The sequence below is a fragment of the Homo sapiens genome, chromosome 15, assembly GCF_000001405.40.
Source record: "Homo sapiens chromosome 15, GRCh38.p14 Primary Assembly".
Taxonomy (NCBI): Eukaryota; Metazoa; Chordata; class Mammalia; order Primates; family Hominidae; genus Homo; species Homo sapiens.
Window position 1 is genome coordinate 45,680,882 of NC_000015.10, and position 13,265 is coordinate 45,694,146.

At 44.5% G+C, this 13,265-nt stretch overlaps 1 protein-coding gene across 2 annotated transcripts in view; it reads left to right on the top strand.

Moving 5' to 3' along the window:
- SQOR (sulfide quinone oxidoreductase) overlaps window positions 1-10,400 on the top strand; it is a 60,134-nt gene extending 49,734 nt beyond the window's left edge. For both annotated transcript variants that reach the window (NM_001271213.2, NM_021199.4), the window contains 4 exons: window positions 1,597-1,780; window positions 7,456-7,523; window positions 8,158-8,336; window positions 10,092-10,400. In NM_001271213.2, the coding sequence (NP_001258142.1) occupies window positions 1,597-1,780; window positions 7,456-7,523; window positions 8,158-8,336; window positions 10,092-10,149 (489 nt within the window). In that variant the 3' untranslated portion in view covers window positions 10,150-10,400. The remainder of the gene's footprint in view (window positions 1-1,596; window positions 1,781-7,455; window positions 7,524-8,157; window positions 8,337-10,091) is intronic.
- Window positions 10,401-13,265: the final 2,865 nt, after the last annotated feature.

The window sequence follows — 13,265 nt, forward strand, 5'->3', positions numbered from 1 at the left end:
ATGACTCTAGTAAGGTTTAGACCTCAGTTCAAAAACGTAGTTCTAGGTCAGGTATGGTAGCTTGCACCTGTAATCCCAGCACTTTGGGAGGCTGAGACAGGTGGATTGCTTGAGCCCAGGAGTTCGAGACCAGCCTGGGCAACAGAGCAAGACCGAGTCTCTAATAAAAGAAAAAACAACAACAACAAACTAGCTGGGTGTGGTGGTGCGTGCCTCCTGGCTGAGGCAGGAGGATTGCTTGAGCCCAGGGGTTCGAGGCTGTAGTGAGCTATGATCAAGCCACTGTCCTCCAGTCTGGCAACAGAGTGAAACACTGTCTCAAAAGTAGTTCTAGTTGACTGCAGAAATGCAGACAGGAGATTAATAATTTAGTAGATGATAGCTGTTGACCATTTCATCCATTATCCTGCAAACATGCATTCAGTTTCAACGTTCATGAACAGACCTGACCTCAGGGACCCATGTGCCCAAGAGCCACCCTCCACCCAAGGTTATCCTGCAGATGAGCAGCAGCCATTTGCAGTGCTCCTTCCCTGAGGTTAATTAAGCTTATATTTGTCTGAGAGTTGTAATAAGTACAAGTCATCTTCCTAATTCCCATTGCCATCAGTGACTGCTGAGCCTCTCGGAGGGCATGGGAACATTGGACTTCTTGTGGAAATGAAGGGCTATTGACTATCTCAAAAGGTTGGAATTGTCTTCAACTGCTTAAGTTTTTACCCTAATGACATGTCGTGAACATTTCAATCAATGTGTCCTTAACTGGACCCACTAGCAAATTGATGAATTTGCTGGAAGGAGTTTGTTAAAAATAAATAAAAAGAATAATAAGAACCAACTACAAAACGTGAAAGAATATTACATAAACAAAAAAATTAAATGAGCCCTCAAAAGTGATTAGGATGGGTCAGTGCACCACTACCAAAGGTAACCTTGATACGGTGTTTTGGAAAAAAATTCACCCCTGCCTTCTGCACTGAAAAGTAAATCCAGTACTGAATCAGACCCCTTGCTCCTTTTCCAAAGTGCTAGCTAATATTTTTACCACCCCTTTTCATCTTAAATTGGTGTTCTGACAGTTTCCTTTATGTGTTTTGAAGTTGACACATATTTGGGAATGATGCTTTCTTACCAGCTCCTAACATATCCTTTACAAGTTTAAGGGATGCTGAGCATCACCTTACAGAATAACGCTGAGGTGCTAAACTTTGCAAGTTGACAGCTGAGGGTCAGGGAGACTGCAACTGAAATATACCACCCCCTTATTTTAGTACTAATAAAAACATCAATGGATTTTTTCAGAATATTAGTGAGCTTTACTCCAATATCTCATGTACCCGTACGTGTGTCCACAGGGCTCTCTTGGTCTCTGTATGGGGAGATCACGTCAACTGAGAGAATGGTTATTTAGCTTATCACCATTCCCCAGGAGAACACATAAGATCTTGGAGAGGGCGTGGACTGGTACAAGTGCTGATTGTATAATGCTCCATGCAGCCATAGCACAGTGTATAGAGTAAGGAAGGTAGGGGGAGAGCTTGTGGAGCTGTAGAAATATTGAATAAATGAAAATGTGGATTCTCTCTTTGTGTGTAGTATGAAATGCTTCATGTCACACCTCCAATGAGCCCACCAGATGTCCTCAAGACCAGTCCTGTGGCTGATGCTGCTGGTTGGGTGGATGTGGATAAAGAAACTCTGCAACACAGGAGGTACCCAAATGTGTTTGGGATTGGGGACTGCACCAACCTTCCTACGTCAAAGACCGCTGCTGCAGTAGGTAAGTCAACCAGCTCCATTTCTCCCTTTCTCAAAAATATGTCACCTCAAGGCATGATTGTAACAAAAACACAAGCTTGGCATCGGCCAGAGACGGTGGTTCCTGCCTGTAATCCCAGCACTTTGGGAGACTCAGGCAGGCAGGTCATTTGAGGCCAGGAGTTTGAGACCAGCCTGGCCAACATGGTGAAACCCCGTCTCTACTAAAAATACAAAAATTAGTCAGGCGTGTGGTGGGCGCCTGCAATCCCAGCTACTCAGGAGGCTGAGGCAGAAGAATTGCTTGAACACGGGAGGTGGAGGTTGCAGTGAGCCAAGATCGCACCACTCCTTTCCAGCCTGGGTGACAGAGCAAGGCTTCATCTCAAAAAAAAAAAAAAAAGGCCTTCCTAAGACAGAAGCAAGTTGTCAATGAACCCAGTGTCATATACAGCAAAAAATACCTTTTGAGTGCTTTGCCCCAGAGTAGCATGATCTTATCTACCTTTTCTAGGTCAGAGGGGTTGTTGTCAGAAGAGGGGGCCTTAGAGTGCATCACTTTTCTAGCTCTCTTGAATTCTGTTACTTCTCATACTGCCATACTGGCATCCCTGGTATCTTTGCCTCTGACACCAGGCAGGTTGGCTATTTTTCTTCTGCCTGAAACACCATAAAGCTCGAGGAGCATTTGTTTTCCCAGAAAACACATGGAAGTCAATGAAAGCTTGCAGACCAGAAAATTGTCCTGTTAAGACAAATACAGTGGAGCATGCCCTGAGTGGTACACGATTAAGGCCTCAGCCTGGAAAACTAAATTCTTCACCTCGATGTTCTGCACCAGCAGTGATGGGGAGAATTGCCTTTTAGATTCTGTCCTCTACTGACAGGAACTGTCTTCTCTGGATGCTATAAAACACAAGACCTTCAGTATGGTCATGTTTTGTGTGAATTAGACACCTGTGGAACAGATTGTGTTACTTTTGCTGACTATTTCAACCTCAAGGTAGACCATCTAGGAAACTCACTGAGTGTCTTTTTCATTATTAATATTAATTTCCTTCCAACTTTTTATTTAAAAAAAAATCTCAAACCTATACAAATTTGAAATAAATTATAATACTCATATACCCTTCAGGTATTAACCAATTATTAATATTTTGTGACATTTGCTTCATCGTATTTATGTATATATGTATATTATGTATGTATATATTATGTGTGTGTGTGTGTGTGTACATATATATATATATATTTTTGTTTGTTTGTTTGTTTGTTTGTTTTTTGGTGGGGGGACAGAATTTCACTCTTGTTGCCTGGACTGGAGTGCAGTGGCGCACTCTCAGCTCACTGCAACCTCTGTCTCCCAGGTTCAAGCGATTCTCCTTCCTCAGCCTCCCAAGTAGCTGGTATTACAGGCACCCACCACCACACCTGGCTAATTTTTTTTATTTTTAGTAGAGATGGGGTTTCACCATGTTGGCCAGGCTGGTCTCGAACTCCTGGCTGCAGGTGATCTGCCCACCTTGGCCTCCCAAAGTGCTAGGATTACAGGCGTGAGCCACCACGCCCAGCCTGTATTTATGTATATTTTCCTAAAAATGTCCTTTTTTGTCCCAGCCCCTCCTTAAATCCACCAGCCAGTCAAGGATCACACACTGCATTGGGCGTCATGCCTCTTTGGTTCCCTTTAATATAGAGCAGGCCTTCTGACATTTTTTTCTTTACTTTCATGACATTGACATTTTTGAAGATTCCAGGCCAGTTACCTTGTAGAATACCCCAAAATTTAGAATTGTCTAGTTGCTTTCTTACGGTTAGATTCAGGTTATATGTTTTGGCAAAAATCTCCATACCTGAGTCTGTGTACCTCCCTCTGTGGCACCTCAGGAGCCTGTCATGTTAGTTTGTCTTGTCTTTAGTGAAGCTAGACTTCCTCACTGGGTTAAGGGGTGTTCTCTCTCTCTCTCTCTCTCTTTTTTTTTCATTGTAAAAGTACTCTCTCTCTCTTTGTAATTTGTAGGTAGTCTGTGGGGTGATACTTTGAAATGACACTCATTTAATGTAAGCCTGCAGCATTTATGTGGTGAAACTACCTGTGATGTGAGGCCCAGATTACCCAGCTTTTAGCCTTCTTCAAACAAATATTTAATTCGATGTTCCAGATAGATAAGACTGAATATGACTGAACAAAAATATTCTAAGTGGAAAGTCTTGTTCCCAGTCCTGCAGTGCATCTGCGTGGCTTTCACAGTCCCCCAACCATGGAGGGAGCATCCCCATTGTTTTTACATTTGTGTCTTACAATCTGCAACCTATTCTATGGTTGCTCTAGAGCTTATTTAAAGAGTCCACTCTTAATTATATCTGGGTTGTTTCCAACCATTTTTATTCAAACAGTACCATAATGAGTGCTCTTTACCTGCTATTTAGGTTGGTGCAAAAGTAATTGCGGTTTTTGCCATTAAGAGTAATGTCTCTAAATTTTTGCCATTAAGAGGAGTGGCAAAAACCGCAGTTACTTGCACCAAGCTAATATTTCACCTGTGTGAAAGTCTATTTACTCTTCTCTTCAATGTCCAAATTACAATAGTACTAGCTGTTCCCAAGCAGATCTTCATTTCTTCTTAGATTCCCTTCCCCAAATCCTCTGAGTATCCCAAGGCAATGCTACACTTTTTCCACAAATCTGTCCTTGGGTTTACTTGCCACCAATCCTCTGTTCAGACCCTTATGCGATTGTGAGCGAGACCCATCTTGCCATGTTGAGTCTGGCTTTCCGGAGCTCATGTCCCCTTCTCTGCTTCTCTCTGCCCCAGGATGCTCCTTTAATTACTCCCAGCACAGCTAAGATCAGGATGTGGCATTTAACAAAAGTTAACTGAAGGCATGGGCATGATAGAAGGGGATTGTAATACAGGGCAAAAACCCAAGTCCCGCACGCCTGCACCCATGCACACTTTAAGCCTGGACGTTGAGTGACTGCTTCCTGGCTCCACAGGCCTCACCTCTCTGTGGTGGCACCCACTGGATGTCTCCACTCCTTTTCCATTGGCCTTGATGTCCTGCTGCTGTGGCCTCCTCAAGTGTTCTCAGTCCAGATTCCAAACTCTTTATGGCCCTCAAAAAGGAACACAGTTTTCCAAAAGGGAAATATGATCTTTAGAGATGTTGCTTTGCCCACAGTGAATATAGCCATTTAATTTTTTTTTGTTTTTTAGAGACAAGGTCTCGCTCTGTCGCCCAGGGTGGAGTGTAGTAGAGTGATCACGGCTCGCTGCAGACTTGACCTCTTGGGCTCAAGTGATCCTTCCACTTCAACCCCCACCCCCCCACCCAAGTAGCTGGAACTGTAGGCATGTGTCACCATACCCAGCTAATTTTTAAGTTATCTGTAGAGATAGGGTCTCCCTATGTTGCCCAAGTCTCAAACTCCTGGGCTCAAGCGATCCTCCTGCTTTGGCCTCCCAAAATGTTGGGATTATAGGCATTAGCCACTGTGCTTGGCCTCATTTAATATATATATATATATTTAGATGGAGTCTTGCTCTGTTGCCCGGGCTGGAGTGCAGTGGCACGATCTTGGCTCACTGCAACCTCTGCCTCCTGGGTTCAAGCAATTCTCTTGTCTTAGCCTCCTGAGTAGCTAGGATTATAGGCACCTGCCACCACGCCTGGCTAATTTTCCTATTTTTAGTAGAGACGGGGTTTTACCATGTTGGCCAGGCTGTTCTTGAACTCCTGAACTCAAGTGATCCACCCACCTCAGCCTCCCAAAGTGCTGGGATTACAGGCGTGAGCCACCGCGCCCGGCCTCATTTAATATTTTTAAGTAGAGTTGTTTACTCTTCATTTTTGTGACCCTCACCCATTCTAGAAAAAAAATCATTGCTTCTTTGATTTGGACATCAGCAAACTATAGCTTATGGGGCAATGCAGTCCACTGCCTGTTTTTGTATGGTGGAAATTTTGTTTTTTCTCATTATATAATATCTTTGATTTGCCGTGGGCCCACAAGGCCTGCAATTTTTCTTACAGAAAAAGTTTGCTAACCCCTGATTTGGGAGATTGCAAAATAACCACTTTAATAAGCATTTTATAATACAAAGGTAACCCATCTTTCCTCAAACGTGAATCCCATGTTCTACCTCTAGAGACACAAACTGCTGTATCTTCATTTTATTTTATTTTTGAGACAGAGTCTCATTCCGTCATGCAGGCTGGAGGGCAGTGGTGCAATCTCAGCTCATTGCAACCTCTGCCTCCGGATTCAATCTATTCTTGTGCCTCAGCCTCCTGAGTAGCTGGAATTACAGGAGCGACACCACGCCTGGCTAATTTTTTGTATTTTTAGTAGAGACAGGTTTCACCATGTTGGCCAGGCTGGTCTCAAACTCCTGTGATCTGCTCACCTTGGTCCCCCAAAGTGCTGAGATTACAGGCGTAAGCCACCATGCTCGGCCACAAACTGCTGTCTCCTTAAAAGGGTAGTCTTTTTTTGTTTTTCTGAGGTGGCGTCTCACTTTATCCCCAAGGGTGGAGTGCAGTGGTGCCATCTCGGCTTGCTGCAACCTCCGCGATTCTCCTGCCTCAGCCTCCTGAGTAGCTGGGATTACAGGCGTGTACCATCATGCCTGACTAATTTTTGTATTTTTAGTAGAGATGGGGTTTCATCATATTGGCCAGGCTGGTCTTGAACTCCTGACCTCAAATGATCCACTTTCCTCGGCCTCCCAAAGTGTTGGGATTACAGGCATGAGCCACCATGCCCATCTGGGCAGTCTTAATTATTCAACATTGAACACAAACTGGGTTTAGATTATATGAAGAAACTATTACTAATATTTTGGGGGTGCGAAAATACTGCGGGTTTGTGTTAAGAAAATTCCCCATCAGAGATACAGACAGGAGATTTATGAGTGAACTGATGTGATATCTGCTCTAAAAATACAGCGGGAAAAAAATAGCATGTGTGATGAGATGCATGAAACAAAACGATGGAATTTGAACATTTTCCTAATAAAAAAGGCAGTCTCCCCATTCTTGCCAAAGAAAAACAGAAACAAATCCCGATGTATGTATGTATCTATCTGTATCTGTCTGTCGTTCTGTCTGTCTGTCTGTCTATCTAGGAAAGAGACAGAGAGATGGAAATACAGGTAGATCTATATATCTGTATCTCTATATCTATAGATCTATATCTATATCCACAGATCTATATCTATATCTGTATCTATATCCACCTGGTCCTGCCTCAGCCAGGACAGTCCGGTAGAGAGGAAGGCCTGCTTTGTCTTATTGGAAATGCCTGGGGCTACCAATCCAGACTGCCTGTGAACAGGGACACAGGGATAACCCACATGGTCAAGAACACTGACTAAGTGGACACACAGACTAAGTTGACAGCCTCAACCCCAAGAGGAGAGGCAGTGGATTTGGGGTAGGTCCCTCCTTACAGCCACACTGGAGGGAGTCGGCTCTTTAGTATCAAACCCATGGAAACACATGCGCAGGCCTTCCATGAATTAAAGAACCCCCTCCGGTAGTCAGAATTTCAATTAGTAAGAAGGTCATGTTCTAGTCACAGTCTTGAGGGATGGGAAATGGAATCTTCTTGTTTACATTAAAGTTATTTGCAAATTAGTTTTCATGGAAAACCTTGATGCTTACATTTTTCTGACTTTCCCATTTCTCTTATAGCTGCCCAGTCAGGAATACTTGATAGGACAATTTCTGTAATTATGAAGAATCAAACACCAACAAAGAAGGTTTGTATGCCTTGTAAGAATCACTGTCTCAATGATCATCTTCCATTCTGTGTAAAAGTAGTGTTTTCCCACAATTTTGCACTTTCTGTCTTTTCTTTTTTTCTGTTTTTCTTTTTTTTTTTTTTGAGATGCAGTTTGCTCTTGTTGCCCAGGCTGGAGTGCAATGGCACGATCTCAGCTCACCGCAACCTCCACCTCCTGGGTTCAAGCGATTCTCCTGCCTCAGCCTCCCGAATAGATGGAATTACAGGCATGTGCCACCACACCTGGCTAATTTTTTGTATTTTTAGTAGAGACAGGGTTTCTCCATGTTGGTCAGGCTGATCTCAAACTCCTGACCTCAGATGATCCACCCGCCTTGGCCTCCCAAACTGCTGGGATTACAGGTGTGAGCCACCGCGCCTGGCCCAGTTTTGCACTTTTTTAATTAGTGTCTCCAATATGGGCATTTCTGTTTTTGCCATTAGTACTATTTTTTTTGTAATATAATTTACATTTTTCACAGTACAAAAAGCTAGAATATACAGAAAAGAAAAAATATATAAGCACTCACAGCAAATAATAAATTCTATAGTGTTAATATAGTACCATGAAAAAAATCTACTTTCCAACTCAGTCTGATTTACAATTTTAGTATGATGGCTACACATCATGTCCACTGGTGACCGGCTACAACCGTGTGATTCTTGCTGAGTTTGACTACAAAGCAGAGCCGCTAGAAACCTTCCCCTTTGATCAAAGCAAAGAGCGCCTTTCCATGTATCTCATGAAAGCTGACCTGATGCCTTTCCTGTATTGGAATATGATGCTAAGGTAAGTGCACTGCCTGGTTCCTGGATGAGGAAAGGGATTTGTAGCACATCTCCACCCAAAGGGGATGCAGCCTCTTTTCTTCATTATTAGCAGTGACCAAGTGTTCTGTCTTCCATGCTCTAGGCCCTCTTTTGCTGCTGGATAAATAATAATAGTAAATCACTTTCACATACCAAGTACTCTATCATCTGCTACCTTACTTTTTTTTTTTTTTTTTTGAGACAGAGTCTTGCTCTGTTGCCCAGGTTGGAGTGCAGTGGCACAATCTTGGCTCACTGCAACCTCCACTTCCTGGGTTCATGCAATTTTCCTGCCCCAGCCTCCTGAGTAGCTGGGATTACAGGTGCCTGCCACCACGCCTGGCTAATTTTTATATTTTTAGTAGAGACGGGTCTCTACTAAATGTTGGCCAGGCTGGTCTCAAACTCCCAACCTCAAGTGATCCGCCCGCCTCGGCCTCCCAATGTGTTGGGATTACAGGCATGAGCCACCGCTCCTGGCCCCTTACCTTTGTTTTTATTGTTATGGGAGAAACCAAACAGTGAGTAAGAGCACAGACTTTGGAGTCAGACCTGCATTTGAGTCATACTTCTGCTATTAGCATGGCAGAAGTCATTAGCAGTGTCATTATGGCCATTAGCAGTGTCATGCTATTAGCATGACATACATAGCTGTGTGTCCCAGGGAAAGTTCTGTTTAATTTAATTAAACACTCTTTGTGTTTAAATTTCTCATCTGCAAAATGAAAGTAACATTGCCTACCTCACAAGATGGAGGTTAATGAGATAACACATAAAGAGGCAGGTACATAGTAGGGATTCAATAAGTAAATAGAGTAATAAAAACGAGTAATTCCTCTTCCTCCTTTTTTTTTTTTTTTTGGAGGCAAAGTCTTGCCCTGCCCGTGGTGTGATCTCAGCTCGCTGCAACCTCCACCTCCCGGGTTCAAGCAATTTTCCTGCCTCAGCCTCCCAAGTAGCTGGGATTACAGGAATGCACCACCATGCCCAGCTAATTTTTGTATTTTTAGTAGAGACAGGGTTTTGCCATGTTGGCCAGGCTGGTCTCAAACTCCTGGCCTCAAATGATCCACCTGCCTCAGCCTCCCAAAGTGCTGGGATTACCGGTGTGAGCCACTGCACCCAGCCACTCTTCTGCATTCTAAAAGCTGATGACCTCCTTTGACTTTTCTAAACCCATATGAGAGAGAAATCTGGGTGTCTACATCAGTGGTCCTGAACCAAGAGTGATCTTCCTACCCCTTGCTGCCCCAGGGACATTTGATAATTTCTGGAGACACTTTTTGGTTGTTACAACTGGAGGGGTGCTACTTGCATTTAGTGAGCAGAGGCCAGGGATACTGCTAAACGTCCTATAATGCCAGGTCAGCCCCCAACAGCAAAGAATTATCTGGTCCAACATATCAATAGGGCCAAGATTGCAAAATCCTACAGTTAATTATGAGGTAATGAAAGCAGAAAGAGTAGCAGTTTGCATGTAGTAGAGGCTTTAGACACATTTGCCAAATTGAGTTAGCACATCCAGGCTCACACAGCAAGTCTTTGTCAAAGCTTAGGAATGGAAGTAGGTTGTCCCCTCCTAGTCATGGGATCTCTCCAACTCACTAGACAATCTTGCTTTACGTGCTGATGAACATGCTCTGTGAGCAGCCTGGCTTCCCTTTCAGCATCCTCCTGACTGAAGTCGCCCCATCTCTCTTGCTGCAGGTACATTTTTTTGTGTTATTTCTTACAGGGGTTACTGGGGAGGACCAGCGTTTCTGCGCAAGTTGTTTCATCTAGGTATGAGTTAAGGATGGCTCAGCACTTGCTCATCTTGGATGGCTTCTGGGCCAAAACTGCAGTCACTGAATGACCAAGAGCAGCACGAAGGACTTGGAACCTATCCTTGTAAAGAGTTCCTTGATGGGTAATGGTGACCAAATGCCTCCCTTTTCAGTACCTTTGAACAGCAACCATGTGGGCTACTCATGATGGGCTTGATTCTTTGGGAATAATAAAATGAAATAATACTTTTATTTTCTGAATAAAAGTTTGTCACTGATTGTGTTCTATGAGAAAATTTTATCTTGGCTGATAGGGATGAAAAGTTCCAGCACTTGGGAGAAAAATATGGTGGTGGTGGGCTAGCTTATATGTTATCTACTGTGAGTATTCAGCTGACAGCTGGCATAATTTCACAGAGCCTATTTGGATTCACTGAAAAGGGTCATTCCAGGGACAATATTGTTTCAAACATAGTGGGCAGTAGCCCTGAACATGTGCTGCTTAGAACTCCTGCCGCGGGAGCACTGTGGAGTAAGAGCCCAGCTGCCACCCCTCTTGTTCCACCACCCTGTTTATGCTAAGGCCATACTTTCTTCCAGCCAGAGACTGAACATGGTGGGGTGCCAGTGCTGGCCCATTCCTTGGAATGTGGGACTTCTCTACTGGACAACTTTAGCTCCAGGACCCCCCATCAACCTGGCTGAAACTTCCTTAGAACTGTGCTGCGTCTGAGGTTCTATCCAGTCCTCCTTCCTTCCCCCTCTGTTTTCATACGTGTCCATCTTTCACGGTGGTGTGAAGGCCCGCCTTGCCTTCTCCTGTTCCGTCTCCTTTATGCTTCCTAGCCATTTCCCCCACTAAATCTCCTGCAAACCTAGTTCTCTCCAGGCACCTGTTTCTCAGGGAACCTACACACAGTGAGACTGGGGTTAGAGGAATCCTGATGTGTATACCAAGCATTTGCTAGATTCAGTCCCAATTTTGCTAACAAGGTTTTGAATGAGTTTGTACTAGAGATATTGCAGGAAATAGTTCCAGTTTATTTGAAGTTCAGCAGTGGCTTAAAAATAATTTGTTTTCCATTAGTTTATTGTAGAAGTTCACAGGTTCAGTTCAATCTGGCATTTTAAAGCTGTGAACATTTCATATTTATAAACTCCCCCAAAGGGAAAGGCATAGCAGTTTATACAATGCCTTAGATTTTTTTTTTTTTTTTAGACGGAGTCTCGCTCTGTCGCCCAGGCTGGAGTGCAGTGGCGCGATCTCAGCTCACTGCAAGCTCCGCCTCCCGGGTTCACACCATTCTCCTGCCTCAGCCTCCCGAGTAGCTGGGACTACAGGCGCCCACCACCATACCCAGCTAATTTTTTGTATTTTTAGTAGAGACAGGGTTTCACTGTGTTAGCCAGGATGGTCTCAATCTCCTGACCTCATGATCCACCCACCTCAGCCTCCCAAAGTGCTGGGATTACAGGCGTGAGCCACCATGCCCCACCACAATGCCTTAGATTTTTATAAGGTTAGAGTTCAAACCCTTTTATGTGTTACTAGATTGCCAAGTCTGTTTTCCTAGCGTTCTCTCGATGATGTTAGAAACTTTGGGCGTTCACTCACTCATTCAACAAATATTTATTGAGCATATACTACCTGCTAAGTACTATTCTTGGCCCAGGGTATATACTGTGTTGAACCAGACAAATAAGGGCCCTGTCCACATTTTTGTGGTGCCTGTGATAGTTTCCTCTTCTTTTCCTGGGATGCCAAGGGAGCTTGTTGAGTGAGGTCCTGGCTTGATTAGAGAAGTAGACTGTCTTCAGTGGCATACAATCTGGGGGAGGGCAGGGCACTAACTGCTCTAGCCGCAGGCCGCTAACCTGGCGACAGGGGTAGAAGATGTTCTCTAGGGTGTCCACACATCCTGGTTTGCCTGGGATAGTCCTGTTTAATACCTATTGTCCTGGCTTAACTAAATAGTGTCCCCTTTAGCTCTCCAAGATGTCGCAGTTTAGACAATAGATTTACAAGCACTCTGGGGATCACCCTCCACCCCCCAGTCCCAGAATGGGAGAGTAGTGCTACGAATGGTGCTAATACAGGACTTGTCACCTCATTGGCTTTTCCATGGTGCTCATGAGACAAGCAGGAGTAGGATTAGTCTGCCTTGTTCTCTGAGTCCTGGCAAAGAAACTCCATCCCTTTATGGAGTTCCTGCCCGAGACTGCTGCCGCCTGGCTCCTGGTGGGCTGCTCACTCTCTCAGGCATGGAGGTCAGGGAGAGCCGGGGGCTGTTCACCTCTAATGGTTCTTCCCTGCAGGGTCTAGGAAGGCTTGGGGATAATCCAGTTGGGACTCTCTCCCTGGATGTAGACAAAAGTGCTGGCAAGGTAAGTTTCTGCATTTTCAGAGAATGGGGCTGTGATTCAGAGAATGGCTGAGGCTCCAGGTGGAGTAACTTTGAAATCCCTTGTGGAGTTACCTCGAGCCTCCTGGGTCTGTTTACGATGATGCATTCTGAAGGAAACCTTCAAGCATCAGGGAATTGATTCCAGGTTCACATTATGCTGGGTAGGTTGTATTGCCAAAGCTGGAGACAGCAGTGACCATGACTGGACAGTTTTCTTTCCCCTGAGCTGGGAAAGACAAAATGTGCTGAATTCCAGAAAAGCTTAGCCTTTGAAACCTTATCCACAAATGTGGGGTGCCAAGGGAGAGGGCTTCCCTTAGCACTGCTGCCATAATTAGGAGTGGGCAGTAGGAAGAGGAGGTAAGACCAGGGTAGGGATAAGGATAGTGATTTTTCCAAGGGTGTTACCTTGGGGTGGGGAGGATGTTGTAGGTCCCATCCTACAGAGGGCTCCAAACTCAGGCCTTCAGGGTCCATAAGTGACGTGGTGCTGAGACTGCCGACTTGGGGAATCTCTTTAAACCCTCCACCCCTTTTCTCCAGAGCTTCTTCCTTCTCAATTCCTGCTTTGGTGTTAGCCCTGGATGAGCTGTGGGTGTAATAACAGAGCTGAGGTTGTAGTTTAGGGGCCACTGGGGTACAGGGAAGTAGGCTAGGCTTAAGTTGACTTGGGGATCACAGAGTTTGAGATTTAATATGATTTTTTTTGGGTATTTTTTTTTTTTTTTTTGAGAGGGA